The 23,004-nt window shown below is 34.9% G+C and overlaps 1 protein-coding gene across 25 annotated transcripts in view; it reads left to right on the top strand.

Moving 5' to 3' along the window:
• AGTPBP1 (ATP/GTP binding carboxypeptidase 1) overlaps positions 1–23,004 on the top strand; it is a 258,945-nt gene that overhangs the window by 139,256 nt on the left and 96,685 nt on the right. For 18 of the 25 annotated variants that reach the window (XM_047423094.1, XM_047423090.1, XM_047423089.1 and 15 more), the window contains 4 exons: positions 5,255–5,292; positions 8,585–8,793; positions 10,908–11,085; positions 19,810–19,907. In XM_047423094.1, coding sequence (XP_047279050.1) covers positions 5,255–5,292; positions 8,585–8,793; positions 10,908–11,085; positions 19,810–19,907 — 523 coding nt within the window. The other 7 variants (NM_001286717.1, NM_015239.3, XM_047423097.1 and 4 more) reach the window with 2 other exon arrangements.

Below are 23,004 nucleotides of genomic sequence, written 5' to 3'. Positions count from 1 at the left end.
CCCATAGGTTTGGAAGTCATTGCAAGGACTGACCCAGAATTGAAAGTAGATGTCACTTCATTAGTACCTGGGGACTTAAGCTTTTTTTCCTTCACATCTCCTAAATCTAAGCCACAGACTACTTTTTGAATTATTGTTGCTTGTAGTATTCTTTGTGGAAATATGAAGACTGGAAAAATATATGAGGAAGTATAAATTATTTATACTGAGAAATTTTAATTAATTAACTACAAACTATGCATTTCAATAAATCTAACATTTTAAAATTCTTTTGTAACATTAATTTACTCTGGCTTATAAGTGTTATAGAATTTCAGAAATTTCTTTGTGGTAAAGTTCTAAAAATAACTCTTAAATAACATTTGGTAAAAATTTACAAATGACTTTGCACCAAACTTGACTATATCTTTTAATCTACTGGAAATAATAAGAAACATACACAATGGGTGTTGCCATCTGAAAGAACTGGGTTCATATCCCAGCTTTCCAGTGTTGAAAAATAAACATCAACAGAAAAAAATGTTCTATTTTAGGATTAGAAACTGTCAGAAGTACTTTTATTTGGTTTAAACAGTTGTAAACAACTACCAGTAGGGAGAAAGAGTTTCTGAAAGTACTCTAAGATTTTTACAATTTTGAATAAAGAATTAGCTGTAGAAAGGAAGGTCTTATGAGTTCATTGTAAGTGATTGCATGTAAGTTATTATATTAGTTTTCTAGGGCTGTCATAACAAAGTCCAATACTGAGTGGCTCAAAACAACAGAAATTTATTGTTTTATAGTTCCAGAGGCTGGAAGTCCAAAATCAACTTGTCAGCAGGGCCATGCTCCCTCTGAAACCTGGAAGGGAGCATCCTTCCTTGCTTCTTCCTAGCTTCTGGTGGTTTGCTGGCAATCTTTGGTGTTCCTAGGCTTGCAGCCATAGCATTTCGGTTTTTGCCTCCATCATCACATGGCACTCTCCCCTTTTGTGTTTGTCTTCACATTGTCTTCTCTCTCCTTATAACAGCACCAGTCTGTTGTATTAAGGGCCCACCTACTCCAGTATGACCTTGCCTTAACTAGTTACATCTGCAATGACCATGTTTTCCAATAAGGTCATATTTGGAGGTATTGGGGGTTGGGACTTCAACATACCTTTTTGAACACAATTCAACCCATAACAGTGATTAACTGCATGTACTTAGCAGTAAGCACAATTTGTGATCTTTCAGTGTGTTCTGTGTTAGCTGTGTCTTAACTTTGCATAGTTTGCATAGTCTTTCACAAAACTTGACATCTATGTGTATACATAGAAGTTAAAGTTTTTGATGGATCATGGTAGTCTCGAATAAAAGTTGACAAAGAAGGCTTCTTAGTAATGGTAAGAAACATATTGCATTGAATGGTAAGTGGAGTCTGGTACTTTAGATAATACATGTAATGCAGTGAGTCTTGAGACCTTCTTAACATGATTAATCAGCAGATTGTTTAGTGCCTTGGGGAGTAAATATTTTGTCTCAGCTTTCTTAATCACTTTTTAAATAGAAGGGATTTATAACATGTAGAAATTAAACAGAGTAACCATAGGAAGAGGGGTTTACTTAGTTTCTGTTATATTAGATTGACTTCTGTTTTTAAAAATACGTTTCTGAGATGTAGTTGACATGATAAAATCTGTATATTCAAAGTGTACAGTTTGATGAGAATGGACATAGGCTGGGCTAAAGCCTTTAGGCTTGGGAGGCACAGTACTTCTAGGGTCCCATAAAAATGTTTTAATTTCTTTAAAAATCATATAAAAATGAACTTTAGGCTGAAGAAAATGTTTTCATTTGTGATATTAGTTCATTCATCTTTATACCAACACCAACACGGTTGTAAAATGCTATATGAATTTTAAATACTTTTTTGAAGGGAGGGGCCTATGAAGGCAAAGAAGTGTCTAGAGCCCATGAAAATCGTAATGTGGTCTTGGATATATGGCTAAACCTGTGAAAAACTATCACCACATCAAGCTAACATCTCTATCACCCCCAGAGGCTTTATTGTGCCCTTGGTAATTCTTCCCTTGCTTCTCCCCTTTGGCCCTAGCAGTCATGACAATGCCTTCTATTACTGTAGATTTGGTTACATGTAAGTTCAGGAATTTTATATGAATGGATTCATAGTGTGTGTACTCTTTTTTGTGGTGGGGTGGATCTGGCTTCTTCCATGTATCATGATTATTTATAGATTCACTTATGTTGCACATATCAAAAATTTATTCCTTTTTATTGTTGAGTAGTAGTCACAGTTATATGGCTGTATTGTCATTTGTTTATTTATTCACCTCTTAATGGACATTTGGGTTTTTAGTTTTTGACTGTTACAAATAAAGCTGCTGTGAATGTTTATTTGGGTATATAAGCATTCACACACTTTTTATGGTCATATATTTTTTTATTTCTGCTGAATAGATATCTAGGAGTAGAATGGCTGGATCAATTGGTAGCTTTTCAAAAAAACTGTCTTTCTGCAATATGTTAAATCTTCCCTCTAGAACACGTGGAATACTATTGTGATAAGTGTTTTAATGTTTTCTCATGTTTATGTCAGATCTAGGTCTGTTTCAATTGTTTTTTTTTTTTCCCCCATCATTATGGGTCTTTTTTTCCTTGCTTTTTTCATGCTTGATAATTTTTGAGTGCCAGTCATTGTGAATTCCACCTTGTTGAGTGCTGGATATTTTTGTATTTCTATAAATATTCTTGAGGTTTTTCTGGGATGTGGTTAAGTTAGTTGGAAATAGTTTGATCTGTAAATGTCTTTTCACATTTGTTAGATGGGATCAAAGCACTGTTTAGGACTGATTTTTCCCCACTACTGAGGCAGAATCCTTCCGAGCACTCTACCCCATGAGTTATGAGGATTTCCAGTGTGATTGGTGGATATAGGCACTGTTCTCAGCCCTGTGTGAATACTAGATGTGGTTCTGCAGTCCTTTTGGATGGCTTTTTCCCAGCCTTAGTAGTTACTTCACACACATGTGCTGATCACTACTTTGCTGAATATTCAAACACAACTCGCTGAAAATCCCTGTACAGCTTTCATTTTCTGGTATTCTGCCTTGTGAGCTCTAACCGACTTGGTCTGCCTGGACCCTCTATGTCCTCAATCAGGGAGTTCATGTGCTGAACTTTTGGGATCTGCCAGACTCCACCTAGGTTCTGTCTCCCTGTGCTGTGGCTTGGTCGCTTTCTCAAGGTGTAGTAAGCTGGGGCAATTGTAGGGCCCATCTCATTTTTGCCATTTCTGTGGATCTCTATCTTTCATTGCTTAATATCCAGTATCTTAAACAGCCATTCCATTTTGTCCATTTAAAAAATTACATCAAATGAGAGGGTACATCCGGTTTCTGTTACTCCATCTTGTCTGGAAGTGAAAGTTCAGATAGCCTTCTCAAAGGGAGACTGACATTTCTGATTGCATAATTTCCTTTCTCAACAAGATAATTACATTATTCATTTTCTGTTGCATTGAGATTTTATGTGGCCCTAGGCATGTTATATTTCAGTTCTGTGGAACAAAATTGTTTTAAGAAGGAAACTAGAAAACACATATATAAAGCACCTGTAACAGTGTCTGGCATTTGTCAGGTCTTGCTGAAGAGGTTTTCTTTTCCATTTTAGTTTTTATAAATCGCAGTCTCATATGGAATATTCATTTAGTTTTGTGTTTAATTTTGACCAATTTAAAAGCTATCCTTATTCTCATAGTTTTATATTCTCCTGTACATTTTATTGCATAAGTGTAAAAAGTATGGAAAGTTTCTTACTGATAATTCAATGCAATGAAAATTTAATACAAAATTTTATAATGTTTATTTTTAACTCACCAACACTTCACATTGTTTTGAGGAAGTTACAGGTATGAATTTCTTATTTTACAAATTCGTTATTATAAAAATTTACAGTTGCTTTATCTTTGTCAATAAATAAAAGTGTAGCCATTAAGAACTTCCTCTTACTGGGCATTTGTTGAGCACTTACCCTGTGCCTAGTCCTCGATTATTGTTTCAGATTTTGCTGTGAACTTTACCTACCCATCTTAAGTCTTGTAATCTGTTATGCTCTTTACCTTTACCTACACCTAGTCATGCTACTTCCCTTGTACTGCTGATGTATGCAACTTTTACTTTATTACCTCCTTTATGTTTCTAATTTCTTGAGCAGTTTTTTCATAGCTGTGCTCTTTTATTACATTATGTAGATTGTAAAATTATCTGTGGAAGAGATAAGTTTGTTTTCTAATTTTATAACCACGAAGAACTTGCTACTGTGGTTATCAAGTAGGCATTCAACAAATGCTTAATGGTGAGTGAAATGATTGTTTCATAATATACACAATTTTAATGCAAATTAATTGTAATTGTTGATGTATTACCAAGAGGTACCATAGTATGTGCCTTACATTTTAAAAATTATTGAAATTAAGTGCCATTTCTTCAGTATCTGATTAAAAATAAACGATTTGAATTACAGGTTTTCCATGGTGATATTATGTGTATTTTTACAGCTGATTAACGGCAGTTGATTTCACTATGTGTGACTGAGTATTTACGTTCAAATACAATTTAAATACTTTCAGTTTTGGGGGTGATTGCTTTGTCCTCTAAGGGACAGTAAGAGTTTTTGAGATATTAGTTAGGCTTCTTATTCATCTTGGTGCGTCATAGCTGAAAAATGTTAAGGGCTGATACTTCTCCCCAACCTTCAAGTTCCAAAATATTTTACCTTTATTATGGCCTTAAATAGGAGGATATATACCTTGATAGAATGGAAATACTTTGAAGTCAGAAAGTGACAATATCTATAGAATTTTGTTGTTATGAACTTGTGTTAAGATTTGTTTTTAATTCCTTTGCAAGTCACGGCGTATGATTTTTAATAGTGTGGTTCCTTTGTTAACTCTCAGGTCAGATACAGAGGCTGATGAATGATTCCGTTCATCTAACTTCTGACAAATACTTAGACATTGTTAATTTCCTTCTTTTTCTTTCTCAAAACATTTTTTTTGTTCCTATCTATTGATATTTCAATCTTTTTCATATCCAATTTTAAGCTGAAGAGAGAGATGCATACGGAGAAATACCATGTGTAATTATCTTAAACAAGAGTAAACTTTGGAATAGATAATAGAATAATGACTTATTGAAAAAGATTGTATGAATTTACTATTGTAGATTAATTTTACTAGTTTTGTTGTTGTTTGTGTTTTCTTGTTGTGTTGACAGGGTTGCTTTAGACACTCTTGCTGCATTGCTAAAATCAAGTAAGTTTTTAAATACTAGAAATACTAGATACTATTTTTCTGAGAATTCTATTTATTATGTTAAAGAAACTGGAAATGTAGATTTAGACTATAGTTATAAAGCTGGTTTATAATATTCTAATGTCAAAATTGATTTTTCCTTTTAGTGTAGTTGATGTGCATCATAACTAATACCATATTATGTTTATTGAGCTATAATTTATTTAGTACATTTATATAATTTAGTCAAGCACATTGATTTCTTATTTCTAAGTAATTTAGATAACATAAAAATCCATTAGTAGAGGAAAATATATAAGTATCATGTTTTGAAAGTAAAGCTAACATGGTATTGAACTTTTACTATAAGAAATATCTTTAACAACTACTGTCTCTGATTTTGTGAGTGACTTAGAACCCTACAGATTTTATTTCTACCATAAATGTAAGTTTATATAACATTTAGAAAATGTGACAATATACATTTACAGTCTAATTCATTTACAAAATAAAGCACTGTTTTCCTTATCAGAATTGAAGCATTGGAGTAGATATGTCTTATGCTTTTGGAGAGTAATCATCTGTACTTACATATATTTTTTCTCTCCAAGATACTGAGTCTCTTTATTTTAAATATTTTTTTGGGGGGCTTCAGGGGTCTGTTGGTTGATTACATAAACATTTTGTTTAATCACGGTAACATTTGGTCTTCACAATCTGTGTTGGTGGCTGGGTGGCTTTTATATGTCCCCACCCCACTCCACCCTCCACAAGGGAGACATAATTAACAGCTAGCTCATCAAGAACTGTCTGTCAGGGGTGAGACCAACTTGCCCCTACATTTTAATTGCCAGAACTCTTTTTTTTTTTAAATAATAGCAAATAATGAATTGATCAAAAATCTAATATTTGGTAATGATTTATTAAATTTTAAAAATCACCTTAGGTATTAGTAGTAAATAATAGAATTCTCATTTAACAATTTTATTTTTCGAATGAAATGTATGACACTCAGTTAGATTAGCTTTGTAGCTTTATTTTCATATATGATGTGGTAAGCTTTAGACCAAGATCACAATACGTGGATTAATTTTAGAAGATATTTTTAGGTTTGCTTTGATGGGTCCTGAGTTTGTGGTTCAAACTGTATAAAGATTAATTCTTAATATGGGCAAATACTTTTGATTTGGAGTAGATTAGAATAGCTATTGAAACTAAACTTTTATTAAAGCTTACTAATTTTCAGGATCACTGATAGTGAAGTCACTAATTCTAAGTTAGTAAAAGCCAAAATTCTCATAAGTTGCAAGTATTTTATAGAAATCAATCCATGATTACTGTAATTTAATATTTTCAGTTTTTAGTAGTAGTCTCCTTTTTACTCCCTCCCTTCTTTTTCAAATGAGGGTGGTGGGCAAACATACATGTTTATTCCATCAAAATAAAAAAAAGTAACTGACAAGTAGAATGACTTCAGTTTATATTTAATGTATTTTCAGATGACACATGGCATTAAATAGGATGAAAATTGAATGATACAAAATAAAATTTAGTAGCCTACTGCATATTTTTAAACAAATCATGGCATTTTGGAGCATTCTCATTTATTTTTCAAAATTTTTTTGGTTTTGGCAGAGAGGAGCAATCATTTTCTTTAAAAGGATAAATTAGACTTTAGAGAGGGAAGAAGAGACATAGGCTAATTGTGAGTTTGGTACACTGAATACATGAATAAAGTTCCCTTTACTAATGTTTTAATTGTGCTCAGCACAGATTGCATGTAGCTCTGTTCACTTCCTTTAAGGGGCACTCAGCACCTGTGTTTGAATTATGGGCAAGTTTCTTACTTATTTGTGAAGAATTTTAATATTTCTCATAAATTCCATTTAGGCTATTGGGAATCTTGGTGGAAACACACAAGGTTTGTAATAGGAATTAGAATGATCATAATGGCTTTTAACAAAATCACATTCACAGCTAGTAAACTAAAGGCTTATTTCCAACTGGTATAAACAAAGTGTATATTCATTTAAAATGTATGAAGCTTTTCTTGGTCAAAACAATGGAAGTGATTTTGTAAATAGCCACAGCCTTAGCACACTAGCTATTGTAGACACAATACTGGGTTTAAAGCCTTCACATAAGAAATCTTTTCCGTAGCTCTAGTGAGTGTCTTCTGCCTGTCTAATGTCAGAACATAGTTCTGAAAGGGAATTAATAAGTTTATCTCAGTGTTATGTTTTAGGTTTGTACTAGCACATTTAGAAACTGTAATAATTCAGGCAGCTAAAATCAGTGGAGGCTTACTACTGCATTATCTTAGTGTCCATACTGTGAACCTGGTGGGTATTTTATAGGTGTATTTGAGATTAAGAAGAGATTAGTATTTCCTTGTAATTAAACAACCTCAGATGGGTATTGCACATTATCTTGCACCCCTTATAATTAACCCACCAGAGCAGCATTGGGTGACTTGATATGTTGCTCTGATATGATTCCCTTGCCACTATCTTAGTAAAATGTGCCCTATGGTTAATAATTTTAAATACTAATACTTTTAAAAATAATAAAATTAGGTCAAACATGGATTTATTTGTTAATTCTACTCCAATAAAATTGAGTATTTACAAAAACCTTTAGTGTAGTTCTTATTGCAATAAAAATCTAATGACTAGAAAGCCAGAAAGCACTATTTTCTAATCATGTAATGCTCCTTAAATTTCATTTACTAAAAAAGTTACGGAAGTATTTTTTAATGAGCATTGTTATAGTATGAATATTTATATAATTGTGGAGTAATTAGAGCAATTAATTTTAGTGGAAACACAAAGTTTGCAATAGAAGCTACAATTCAATAGGGTTTATTTCAGTGGGAACATAAAGTTTGTAATAGAAATTATAAAAATGATAGCAGATCTTCTAAAAATCACATTCACAACTAGCAAGTAGAAAGCTTATACATTTCATTTGGTGTAACAAAAATCAGTATATTCATAAATTGTAAAATACCTGAAGCTTTTGTTAGTAAACAAAAGCCTTTAAAAAGATGTTCCTCTAATTTTAGTAAAGAGATTTTGATATTTATAAATCGTGAAACATTACACAGGCAGATTTTGGAAGAGGTTGTAATTTTCTCTCTGGAACTTCATATTTATTTTGTTAGAAAAAATATAAATATGTGCTTGTCATTTGTTTTGGAAAAAAGAATTATAAGTATCCATCACAATATTGAGGTAATATTTTAAATTTGATTATTCTACCACTCACTCTCGTCATTTAAAAAATATTCTTTCTCAATCTTCTTTTGTTAAAGAAACAAATGCCAGGAGAGCTGTAGACAGAGGATATGTCCAAGTGCTTTTAACAATTTATGTAGATTGGCACCGCCATGATAACCGGCATAGAAACATGCTCATTCGGAAAGGAATTTTACAGAGTTTAAAAAGTGTTACAAACATCAAGTTGGGAAGAAAAGCATTTATTGATGCCAATGGGATGAAAATTCTGTATAATACTTCGCAAGTGAGTTATTTTCTTCTTATTATTGTGATTATGTACTAATAATATGATTTGGTTGTTAAGAAAACTGAATTAGTGTGCAAATACTCAGAAACGTATACACAGGATAAATGCATTTTTCGAAAATCTTAAAAGTAAAAGACACAATTATTTCTCACATGTGACCTCAGGCTGAGTTGGAGGAAATGGTCAGTGCACAGCTCTGCAATGTGAAATTTTCTTTCTTTTTTTTTTTTTGTATTATTTTTTTTTTATTATTATACTTTTAAGTTTTAGGGTACATGTGCACATTGTGCAGGTTAGTTACATATGTATACATGTGCCATGCTGGTGCACTGCACCCACTAACTCGTCATCTAGCATTAGGTATATCTCCCAATGCTATCCCTCCCCTCTCCCCCCACCCCACAACAGTCCCCAGAGTGTGATATTCCCCTTCCTGTGTCCATGTGATCTCATTAAGGCAAAAGGAAGAAGTAGAAATTCATCCACTTAGCAAGAGGGGATTCCGTAAAGCCATGTTTTCTAGGATGTGTAGTTGGCTGTACTCGGTGTTGTTTGCTCCTCTCATGAGGTATCTGTGGATCCTTTACAGCCTGTAGAGCAGCTCTGTTGTCTGTGAGTATTCTGCACGTTTTCCTGCTGGATAGAGGCTTTTTTGAATAGAGAAGGTACAAAAATGAAACCTGGAACTGGGAATGCTATATCTGCCAGCCATTTTAAGCATAAACATTTTTGACAGTGTATTTAGTGAGATCCTTTCTAGTTGCTGTGCTGACTGTCAGCCATGGGGAATGAGGATGTTGCAATGCAACCCCCTCTCTTTTTTTTTTAAGAAAGCTATAATTATTAGAAAGAAATCTGTCTTTTTGAAAATATCAGCCAGTTATCTTGATTGTGCCCTCCTGGTCTCACACATGACAAACACAGTCTATTTTTATATGACAAGAGTTGAGATATCTGAACACATATTTTATGTTTACCTTAGTTTTTTCTTTTCTAGATCAATCATATGTACTTGTTTTTACTATTCCTAGTATAGACATTGATGGATATTTTATATATGAGAAAGAGTTAGGTCACTTGGTTTATGCCACTTAACATTTCTGAGCCTTAATTTCTCATTTGTTTTGACAGGTCAGATGTGAAAATGTATATGGAAACTTTTACAGTGTATCATAGTACCATCTAAATGTCAAATGTCACTAATAATACTGTTGTTATATGACGGTTTCATATCCCATGTCCCTTAACCCTTCTCCAGATTAGATACCAGGACAGCAAGTCAGACTCTTAAAACTTTATATTGTGGGCCAGGCGCAGTGGCTCATGCCTGTAATCCCAGCACTTTGGGAGGCCAAGGCGGGCGGATCACGAGGTCAGAAGATCGAGACCATCCTGGCTAACATGGTGAAACCTCGTCTCTACTAAAAATACAAAAAATTAGCCGGGCGTGGTGTCGGGCACCTGTAGTCCCAGCTACTCGGGAGGCTGAGGCAGGAGAATGGTATGAACCCAGGAGGCGGAGCTTGCAGTGAGCCGAGATAGCTCTACTTCACTCCAGCCTGGGTGACAGAGCGAGATTCCATCTCAAAACCAAAAACAAAGAAACAAAAAAACCTTTATATTGTGATATTCAGGCTATCCTTTTATAAGGTGAATAGCCAACTTATGAGAGGTATTATTGCATGATAACTGATACAGTTCTGAGGAAGGTTTGGTCAAATGCGTGTTTTTTTTTTTGTTTTTTAATTTCTTACACCTTTTAAATTTTCTTGCTTAATCCTTTTCCCCCTTTTCCCTTAAATTATCTTTTTTATTTTATGCCCTAGGCTTGCCAAGTGTCCCCCCAAGTCACTCCAAAGATGGTACTGATTTCTGCTTAGTGAAAATATTTAAGGAAAAGTTCTTCTGAATTTGCCACATGGGGTTCTTACTTACAGATAGATAATTCTGAATAGTAAAGCTATTTTGTAATTATTCTGTGTTAAAATATTGGTTTTTGAGATATTTGTTTCTAGAAAATTATTAATGTATGACACTTTTTGAACTAAAGTAAAATTGGTTCAGTTATTCATCAAAAACATTCTTTTTCTTTTTCTTTTTTTAAAAAACAGGAATGTCTGGCAGTCAGGACTCTGGATCCTCTTGTCAATACCTCCAGTCTGATAATGAGGAAGTGTTTCCCAAAAAATCGACTGCCACTCCCAACAATTAAAAGTTCTTTTCATTTCCAGTTGCCTGTTATTCCTGTGACTGGTCCTGTGGCTCAGCTCTACAGCTTACCTCCTGAAGGTAGGATCACAGGGTCACTGCTGCTTTTTGTGGGTTCTTAGAATTATGTGACCCTGTGATTTTCTTTTTATTTATGTCTAACTCCTCAGCAAAGGAAGGCCTTACTTAACGTGATAAACATTCACATTTTATTTTAGTTAAGCATTTCTTTAAATGTAAGAAATTGGAGGCTAATAATTAAGTGAAATGGTGTGGGATGTGTTGTATATATGCAAATGTGAATTGTGAAATAATTAAGCTTCACATAGGAATATTATTTGATAGCTTATGTACTTTTTTTTTGTTTTAATTTTTTTTTTTGAGACAGAGTCTTGCTCTGTTGCCCAGGGTGGAGTGCAGTGGTGCAATCTCGGCTCACTGCAACCTCTGCCTCCCGTGTTCAAGCAATTCTCCTGCCTCAGCCTCCTGAGTAGCCAGGATCACAGGCCTGTGCCACCATTCCCGGGTAATTTTTGTATTTTTAGTAGAGATGGGTTTTCGCCATGTTGGCCAGTCTGTTCTCAAACTCCTGACCTCAAGTGATCTGCCTGCCTCGGCCTCCCAAAGTGCTGGGATTACAGGTGTGAGCCACCACACCCGGCCCAACTTATGTATGTTTTTAAAGTGTAAAAATATAAACATTAAATGTCTAGGTAAATTATGTTCGGGTTTACATTTGTAGCTTTTCAGTGATTTTTTTTCTTAAGTTAAAAAAAAACAACCTAATCACCAAAATTACTATGGTTTTATGCTTAACAAAAACTTTCACATGACTTACTTGGATGAAAATATGAAATTATCTGAGGTAGGCTGTTTGTCATTTTCCATATAATACTGTAGGTATACAGTAGAGGAAGTAAGAGTTTATTTATATGGGGAAGAAGAATTTCTTTGACAACATCTACCAAAGTGAAAAAGAGAAAGTAGTCCTGGCTTTTAATAGAATTTCTATAGTATTTTCTTATCAGTTTATTACTTTTTTGAGAAAAAAAACGAAGATTCTTTATTTATATGTAAAATTCTTATTTGAAACAAGTGTTTTAAGAGAATTTTCAAGGAATTATATTAGTTTCATTATCCTTGATATAAATTTATTAATGGTATATGTCATAGGGTACACTATTATGATTTTATTTTTAAAATATGTAGTTATTAAAACAAGTTGACACAACATATCAAAATGGATTATTTAGAAACCTCCTTTAAAATGTTGAAAAGTCTAAGACTAAGTCTAGGACTTATGAGTAAGAAAGCTAAGTAAAAGCAGTGGTCCAATACCCTTTTCCCATTCCATTTGAAATTACCGACAGACTTTTACAGGAGAAAATCTGTACCAAATCTGAAAACTGGGTAAGAGGGGCATGGAACAAATACAGAACATTCAAGAGATGTGGTGGAGCTGTGAGTAAATGCAGGAGCAGCATCAAGCCTCCACTCCCTCTTCTAGGAATGCATTATCTTCTGCTAAAGTTGAGGTGCCATTAGCACCAGTTTGGAGGGACAATCAGGAAGCAGTTGGAATCCCTTTCTTTCCTACATCAACATAGGATTATGGGGGTTAAATGGTGGTTCTCACTGGTGGAAAGCTGGTGAGTCTTCCCTGTGCTGCGGCCAGTAGTAACACCAGGAAGGAGGTGGGATAGGCCCCAGCAAGTTCTTTATTTAGTGTCTGGATTGACGGATAGAGAAAGCCGACCTCTAGTGCAGTAAATTCACCAAACACGGGAACAAACAAGAAATTATATTTTTCTTTTAGTTCCTTTGATGCCTGCTTCTCAGACCAATGAGTCACTGGACTAGAAATGCATATTTACATTGACTGACAAGCCTTCCTGATTCAGATGGGAGAGGAGGGTTCTAATAGCAAGTGTATAGATACTAGGAAAATACTCTCATTCTGTTTTCCATTATTCCTTCCTCCTCCTCCTCCTTCCTCCCCCCATGTTTCCCAGGCTGGTCTCGAACTCCTGAGTTCAAGAGATCCCCCCCACCTCAGCCTCCCAAGTAGCTGGGACTACATGCCCTTGCCTCTGCTTTGTTTTCCATTATTTTCTCACATGTCAGGCTTCATTATATGTTTCACAGTCTTTATTATTATTTACCTTCCTCAGCTAGAATGTGAGTCCACAAGGATAGGTCTGAACTCTTTTACTCACAGCATTTCTGACCCCCAAATATGTGTCTTTTGTCCTCATACCAACCAATTCTCCATATCTCCAGACACTAGCTGGGTGTTCTGCAATTCAGTTCAATTCTGACACTGAAGACCTGGAGTTAATACAGACCCCACAGGTTAAGGGTTTAGTCCCACAGGACTGCTACCACTTCAGATAACAATTACAAGTCTGGACTACCTGTATGTCTGACCTACTGGCAATAAAGTTGATGGGGGTGGGGGTTTCCACAACCTGTTCCTGAAGTTTGATAATTTGCTAGAATGGCTCACAGAACTCAGGAACACTCTACTTATGGTTATGGGTTTATTATAAAGGATACAATTTGAGAGCTGCTAAATGGAAGCGATGCATAGAGCCAGGTATAAGAGAAGGGGTGTGGGGCTTCCATGCCCTCTCTAGGTATGCCACCCTCCCAGCACCATGATGTGTTCACCAACTCAGAAACTCTGAGTGGTGTGTTGTTTTTTTCTTTTTTTGAGATGAAGTCTCACTCTGTCTTCAGGCTGGAGTGCAGTGGTGCGATCTCAGCTCACTGCAGCGTCCGCTTCCTGGGTTCAAGCAATTCTCCTGTCTCAGCCACCCAAGTAGCTGGGACTACAGGTGTGCACCACCACGCCCAGCTAATTTTTATGTATTTTTTAGTAGAGACGGGGTTTCACCATGTTGGCTAGGATGGTCTCGATCTCTTGACCTTGTGATCCGCCTGCCTCAGCCTCCCAAAGTGCTAGGATTACAGGCGTGAGCCACTGCACCCGGCCAAAACTCTGAGCTTTTATACCATTGTTTAGGGTTTTTATGGAGGTTCCATTATGTAGGTGTGATTGCTTAATTATAAGGCTATTTTTGATAAAATCAGTCCCCAGCTCCTCTCTCCCCAGAGGTTGAGGAGTGGGGCTGAAGTTCCAACTGTCTGATCATGCCTTGATCTTTCTAGTGACCAGCCTCTATCCTGAAGTTATCAAGGGGCCCACAAAGAGTCACATCATTAGAACAAAAGATGCTCCTCTACCTAGGAAATTCCAAGGGATTTAGCAGCTGTGTGCCAGGAACCTGGGACAAAGATCAAATATATATCACAATAGGACTGTTGTTGTTTTCATTTTGTCTTCAGCATCCATTAGATTGTGTGGGACATAATAAGTGCATTTAATGTTTGTTGAATAAATGAATCGAGCTGGCCTTGATACTTATTCTTCTGAATGTTAAATGCTGCATCTATGGAGATTTGAAGGAAAGGGTTCTGACTCAAGACTTCTGGACCTTTATTAGTTGTCACCATATGTGAAGGTGACATATTCTTAGGTATGTTTGGGTACAGAAGTATATTATCCAGGTATTCCCTTCCTGAAGTAATTATGTGAAATATTACTCCAGCCAGTCAGATGATGAATTAGAGATGTCAAGAATGTAGACGTTACCTAAGAGTATTTGTATTAAACATTATAATCTGTTAACTATATAATACTAAATAGTTGTTATAGTATTATTATGAAACATGTTAGCTAATTATTGGCAAAAGATACATAATACAGTTATTATAAAGTGGGTATTTACATAAATGAGCTAAAATTTATATTGATAGATTTCCTAATATTATACTGTTCTTGCATTTCTAAAATGAAAATTATACAAATAATCCAAATGTATATTCGCCAAATGTAAAGGTAACATCTGGAACAGAGATCCTTAAACAGGAGTCCATTGACCCATAGAAATACATGGGTGGCCTTTGGAGACTATGGACACTTTGAAAATTGATATAAAATTATAGGGGTCCATCATTGCTGTGTAAAAGCAAGGAAATTTCAAAGATGCACAATATCCTGAGAGCACTAAAGGCTAAGCAAGGACAAGCAGATCAGTTTCAGTAATAAGTCTAAATGGATGAAATACTCCTGTTGAAGGAAAGAGACTCCCAGATTGGGTTAAAAAACAAAATCCGACTAGCTGGTACATATGAAGTCTCTTAAGACAGCAGGATAGAAAGCTTGAAAGTAAACAGATTAGCAAATATGTATGTGTTATTCCTTAGCCCAGAAGAGGTGAGAAGGAAAGTATTATTGTTAAACAAAACACGAATACAGAATAAAAAATGATTAAAACAAGGCAGTGAAGATTATTTTATGCAAGCTAGATAACACATGTGCCAAATACTAAAAGTCGACAAAACTATAATCATTTGAATAACAGAAAGACATTGGTAGAAACAGTGTTGGTGGTTGATTTTAATATACCTCTACATTCTTGGCAAAGTAAATAGGGGTGGTTAAATCAGTCTAAGTAGATGTTAAAGGCAACTCCTGCGAATGCATTTGAATACAGACTTGACCCTAAAACAACTTGGGGATTAGCAGTATCGACTCTGTGCAGTTGAAAATCTGCATAGAACTTTTGACTCCTCCAAAACATAACTACTAGTAACCTGTTGACCAGAAACCTTACTGATAACATAAACAGTTAATACATATTTTTTATGTTACGTGTATTCTGTACAACAAAGTAAGCTAGACAAAAGAAAATGTTATTTGAAAAGTCATAAGGAAGAGAAAACATATTTACTGTTCATTAAGTGGAGGTGGTTTTCATAAAGGTTTACATCCTTGTTGTCTACACATTGAATAGACTGAGGAGGAGGAGGGGCAGGAGGGGTTTTGCTATCTGAGGAGTGACAGAGGCAGAAGAAAATCTGTGTATTAACGAACCTGCACAGTTCAAACTTACATTTTTCAAGGGTCACTGTGTGATTGGAATGGACAATATTTTAGGAAAATATGAATAACTAATATTGACTTAAATAGTAAAAAATTTGAAATTGAATATGCAATCAAGCTTCTTTAGTGAAGACACCAAATGGTGATGACTTCATAGATTAGTTCTCCCAAACTTTCAAGAAATTGTCCTACACTTTATTTTCCAGAGCAAGAAAAAAAAAAAAAAAAAAAAAGGAAAGTTTAGAAGCTAGCATGATGCTGAAAACACAATCTGGTAAGATTAATCTGAAACAACCTACAGATCACTGTCACTCATGAAAATAAATATAAAAATCCTAAAGTATTAGCAAATTTAGTTGAGCAGTATTGTTTACGTTTAGGACACCTTGACCAAGTAAAGATGATTTTTAAGAAAGTAAGTTTATTGTAATATTAAGACTTTAATTAGTAAAATATATTATCAGTAGATCAAAGGGACAAAACCAAATGATCATCTCAGTAAATGCCATGACAAGATTTCATAAAAATCATATCAGTGTAGAAAAATTTTTAAGGAACACAGGAATATTTCCTGAACAAGCTAAGTATTATCTAGCTCAAATCAATAGCCAACATCATAAATAGTAATGAAATGTTAGAGGATGCCTCTCTCAACCATTATTATTTACCGTAGTTTTGAAAACTCTAGCTAAATCAGTAAGATAGGGAAAAGAAAGGTCTTAACCGTTAAAAGAGTGAGATAAATTTATCAGTATCTGTGGAGGATATTACTGTCTATATAGAAAATCCAAGCAAATCAATTGTAAAAAAGTGGCTTACGCAAAGGAACAGTAAAGTACTATTTACAAGAAAAATGAATAAAATTAAATAGCCTTCCTCTACGTGTGTATATGTGTATCAACAAAAAACACATAGAAAACATAAAGGGAAAGTAGATCACATTTATAGGCACAATAGCAACAACAAAATAAACTTCCCGTGATGTACTTTCCCAGTCCTTATAGAATGTGCAGACTCTTTCCTTCTAATGACTACATCATACAGTTGTAGTATAATTTATCTAACTAGTGTCCTACTGATAGACATTTAAGTTGTTTCCTATATTTCTGTTTTTACTATAAGCCAAGGACATTTTGAAAATCAGTAAGAATTTTGGTTTATATTCCCTGGTTTTAATTTGATTGGCTATAATAATTAATATTGTTAATTATTGGTACTGGTATAATGAATGGATCTTTGAAATAGCAGAGAAGGTCTCAGACGCTCTTAAGCTACATGGCATTTCACATCTGGAGTATAAACCCTAAGGAAAACATCCTACAAAGGAAAATATTTGAAAGGTTTGACTAAAAATTGAAAACATATTTTCTCTCTGATGCTGAACTGCATTTTCTCCTCTCCCTTTCTTTCCAAGCAGTCATTTTTCCTACTTGCAATAGGATTTTCTTTCTTTCTCTTTTTTTTGAGACGGAGTCTCGCACTGTTGCCCAGGCTGGAGTGCAGTGGCGCGATCTCAGCTCACTGCAAGCTCCACCTCCCGGGTTCACGCCATTCTCCTGCCTCAGCCTCCCGAGTAGCTGGGACTACACGTGCCCGCCACCACGCCCAGCTAATTTTTTGTACTTTTAGTAGAGACGGGGTTTCACTGTGTTAGCCAGGATGGTCTCGATCTCCTGACCTCGTGATCCGCCCGTCTCGGCCTCCCAGAATGCTGGGATTACAGGTGTGAACCACCGCGCCTTAATTCAATCCCTTTCTTTTTTCCTAGGAGTTATTTTCTTCCTTCTCTTCTTCCAAATGTCAGTTCTTCCCTTGTTTATCCATGACCAACTGCCGTTAGGGCATAAGTATAAATCAACCCAGGTTACCATGTGAAATATGAATATTTATTTTTTGCTATCTAAGAATTTGAGGTGATTTGTTTTTATATTTGTACCTGTATTAGTTAGGGTCGACTAAACTGCTGTTACAAAGAGACCCAGTAGCACAGTCCCTCAAGCAACAGCAGTAATAAACATTTGTGTAACACATACTCTGCCTGGCACTTTACGTATATTAACTTCTCTAATGCCCACAGAAACACTATGAGTAGATATCTCCATTTTATAGACAAAGAAACGAAGACAAAGAATTGATGTAACTTGCTCAAGGTCAAATAGCTAGTAAGTTCGGGAGCTAGGATTTGAATTCAGGTATTCTGTTTCTAGAACCCCTGTGCTATCCTGCTACAACATGGAATTTTTTTCTTTTCCTGTTTGTTGGTCACCTTCCACCCGTATGCTGTCTCTCTCACCTCTTAAAATTGAATTAAGCCATTCTTGTCTTGAAAATTCTCAGTGCCTATCTTCTTTATATTAAAAGTCAGTACTACTTGGCCTACTATGTTACATCCTTCATTTTTTAATTCTTTATTTTCCTTTCAGTACTTTCATAAGCATACTCTTCATCCTAGTCATACCTTTTGTTATTTTCTAAAGATATCATTTCACTTCCTTATTTTAGTAGTATTATTTCCTCTTCTTAGAAGCCACACTCACCCACCATTACATTCACATAGAAATCTGTTATACTTTCTACAAGATACTGCTTAAATATCACCTATTCTGTGAAGTGGTCAGCATCAAGCCCCTTGTCTCCAAGCAGTTTACAATTAGTTGTTGCATTTCTCGTTTTCCCATAGCATTTTGGAGTTTATGGCTTCATTAGCATTTATCTTTGGTATTATAATTACGTGTTTACTCCTTTCTGCTCTTTGACCTCATGAGCCACCTCATTCCTCATTTTCCCATAGTATTTTGGAGTTTATGGCTTCATTAGTGTTTATCTTTGGTATTATAATTACATGTTTACTCCTTTCTGCTCTTTAACCTCATGAGCTACCTGAAGGAAGAGACTATATTTACACCAAGCATGTCCAATATGCTGCCCATGGGCCACATACAACCCAGATTGACTTTGAATGTGGCCCAACAGAGATTCATAAACTTTCTTTTTTTTTGAGACAGAATTTTGCTCTTGTTGCCCAGGCTGGAGTGCAATGGCGCGATCTTGGCTCACCGCAACCTCCGCCTCCCAGGTTCAAGCAATTCTTCTGCCTCAGCCTCCCGAGTAGCTGGGATTACAGGCATGCACCACCATGCCCAGCTAATTTTGTATTTTTAATAGAGACAGGGTTTCTCCATGTTGGTCAGGCCAGTCTCGAACTCCCAACCTCAGCTGATCTGCCTGCCTTGGCCTCCCAAAGTGCTGGGATTACAGGCGTGAGCCACTGCGCCTGACCTCATAAATTTTCTTAAAACAATATGAGATTTGTGTGTGTGTGTGTAATTTTTTTTTTTTAAGCACACCAGCTATCGTTGGTATTAGTGTATTTTATGTGTAGCCCAAGACAGTTCTTCCTCTTCCAGTGTGGCCCAGGGAAACAAAAAGATTAGACAACCCGATTTACACATCTTTTGAAAAAATTCCCAGCATATAGCACAGTATGTGGCACATGACTGTCATTGAAACAAATAGGGGGTCAATTATAAAGGGATGAAGTGAGTCATTGAAATTTATAATAAATAGAAAACAGGATGTTTCATTCAGGCTATCGCAACATAAGACATTATTTTTAAAAACTGAGAACATTAGTAAAATTCACCTTTACAGTGCTTTCCAAATTTTGAAGCACTTTCTTATATGGTCCCATGGGTTTGTCAACAGCTGGGACAGCCTTAGAGAGATGTTAAATAAGAAATCTCATTTACTTTTTCTCTGGTGATTGAAATACTTTATATAAGTCACATTCTACCATTGGCTATGCATATTGTAGAATGCTTACCTCTGACCTACTTATAGCACATTTTGTATCATAGTGGATGACGTAGTAGATGAAAGTGATGACAACGATGATATTGATGTAGAAGCTGAAAACGAAACTGAGAATGAAGATGACCTAGATCAAAATTTTAAGGTTAGTATAAATTTCTGTAATTAGTTAGCTTTATAAATGATATACTACAGTTGTAAAACAAAAATTGGGTAAATAAATATATATGTAATTTTAGGTTTTACTTTGTCCACATCTTTTTACCATGAATGACTATGCAATTAAAGGGGTAGATGATATTGGTTTAAATCCACTGGTCTGAAAAGGACCTTAAAGTAACTTATTTTCACTCTCTCTGACCAGAAAGATTTTATCTAACCTTTCTGCCTTAGATTTTGAAATCTACAAAATTGAAGGAAAGTGATCTGAAACTCTCTTGTGGCAACTTATTTCAAAATGCATTATTATCCTTTGTCAGCAGTCTTTTGGGGATACAAAAACAGTAGGAAAATATTCTATAATGGATTTGTTTTTGTGAGAATTAGTGTTTGCATAATGATTCTTAGGTTTCAGTTAATTGAACAAGGAAGTGAAAAAAGTATTATTGAGAAAATATAAAATTATTGTCATATTACATAAGATGTTAGGTAAAGGTGGCAAGTAAGTTTTCGGAGTTTCATTGTACCTCTGGAAGCCTAGAAAGTCTGTATTTTGCTTTATTTATAGAGAGAGGACTACTCTAGCATCTGTAGAAAAATGGTCTCTTTTTTTAGCTGTTTAGCCTATTGCTGGGTTTTTTTTATGGGGGAGGAGGGATTAATTTGACTCTTTCCTGTTTGGACCAATTTTTGTCTTGCAAAACTGTATCAAAATTGGGGTACACTGAGTATTCGATTCACTTTGGAGATAGAAGTTAAGATATTGGAAGATTTCTGTCTTAATAGATACAGAACCCATTTTATAACCAGCAAATGTGATCACCAAGGTAAGCTTTGGCGAAACTGTCAAGTTAGCCAATCTAAACTACATCTATGTCCTGGCATCAGGTATTGCCCTTAATTATCTTGTCTCTTTAGTCTCCTTTAATCTGGGACATTTCTACAGATTTCTTTGTCTTATAACATTGACATCTTTGGAAAATGTAGTTGTTAGCTTGCATTATTCACTATTCACTGGGGTATCAGTGATTGCTCACGTTTTCCCTACTTTATCTTAACAGAGCAGTTATAGCAATAAGAACAAAATACATTTTATTATTGAACACTTAACTGTGGTAGTCCAAACTCTTTACATATACATAGTAACCATTAGATCCTTATAGCAACCCTATGAGGTAAATACAGGTTGTATAAGTACATAGAAAACAGAGGAAGAGAGAGGTTCTCAGTCTAGTTTATAAGAGGTGGAGCCAGGATTCAGAAAGCAGTCTAGTGGAATGTCCACTCTCTTTATCACTATACTGTACTAAAATATAATTTTTCTTCAAGAACTATGGAATTGTTGGCTTTTTGAGACTGCTGAGCTTTATTATCTTCTTTTTCTTTCCTACTGCTGCCTGCCTCTTACTCTCATTGACTTTACATTTAGACGTTACTTAATTTTTCCTTTTTTTATCTGAATCCTATTCCTTCATCCTTCAGGTGAACTGCTACATCATAGTGGGGGTATTATTTATTTGTGTTCTCTTATGGTTATAACTTTTTTTCCTGTGATTCCATTTTCTTTGTCCCAGATTTTTCAGAGTTTGGAGCATTTATAGAAACTGGTAGCTTCTAGAAGATTCATCTCCAGCTAGCCACAACTTGACCGTATATAAGTTTCAGTGCATTCTTTGTTCCTTCCTTAACTAGCAGAACTTTTAAGGAGTGGTAGCAGGTTGTTTTGTTTTTTTCTAATGAGTCTGTAAGTAGTCCTTCACTACTGTTTCTTCTTAAACCAAACACAAAATTCCCTGCTGTTGAGCTTTCGGAGTGTTGTAGTTTTCTTTCCCCATTATACCTGTTTTACAGGTAAAGCCTTTTTTTTTTTTTTCCTCTCCAAATAGCCACTATGTAAGGCCATATTTTCACAAAATAGTGTCAAATATTGAACTAGTATGTTTAGAGAAAAGAATATCTTTGTAAATTATTTTTTATTTTAGAAACATTATGTATTCTATTAGATGTTAAGAAAATTATTACATTATTGGTTCCTAAATGTATAATTTAAAGAGATTAAATTACATATTAATGTAATAATAAGTATACAATAATGATACAGTGATTAATATGATAACATTTAAATAAAATCAATCTCTATTATGCATATCAATGAGGAAAATCTTTTTCATTGGCTATGTAAATAATAGCTAAATTCCTGAATATGAAATAATAAGAAATACATAATATGTTTTTTTCTTTTAAACTAGTAGTTAATATGTGTAAGTATGGTCAGATACATGTATATAAAGTTTTTTAAGGATTGAAGCATAGTAAAATATACTTGTAAATTAGGCTGAAAAATAAGTAGCTTACTCTGGTAGTAAGTAAATACAAAATTAAAAATAAGTACCAACTGAAAATTATTAAATGGTATTATTATCTCTCTTCAGCCATAACAAAGATAATAATTAGTTTGTGTGAGGCCAGAGTCATTGAGGATCCTAGAAAATAGCTTGGGTAGTAGATAATCTGACATTTGCCCTCTTATCATGGGATTCATTAGCTCTTCTCTGAAGAGCATTTAGAACACATTGATCCTGGATACATATCTTGTTTCTCTGAGGACATACTTTTCCTTTAAATCCACCTGCTTTTTTTCCTAGAGAGACATGGAAATCATTTCTGGCTCTTGTTCCACTCCTGACTTTTTTCCCCCACTGAAAACAGAGTGAATGGTGACACTGAGTTTTTCTAAAAGAACTTTATTTCCCATGCACTCTAAGATTGTGTGATCATCATTAATCTGTATTGGGGCAGTGTGTGATGCTGGCTGACAGTGTGGTGCTTCAGAATCACTCTAACTGGTTTTTATCCTGGCTCCTGTCTTTGCAAGATGTGTAATTTTCAGCAAATGGCTTAACTTCTCCGTACCTCATTTTCCTCTTCAGTTAAATGGGGGTAACTTCATAGTGTTCTTATGCAGAATAAATTAGATAATAGATGTAAAATGCTTAGCATAGTGTTTCATTTATTTTCAGTGCTTAATGTTAGCTGTTTTATTATCACCATCATCATATATATGTATGTTTTTCATAATGGAG

Source organism: Homo sapiens, chromosome 9, assembly GCF_000001405.40.
Source record: "Homo sapiens chromosome 9, GRCh38.p14 Primary Assembly".
Taxonomy (NCBI): domain Eukaryota; kingdom Metazoa; phylum Chordata; class Mammalia; order Primates; family Hominidae; genus Homo; species Homo sapiens.
The sequence above is the reverse complement of the archived record's forward strand: the minus strand, read 5'-3'. Positions and strand labels throughout refer to the sequence as shown.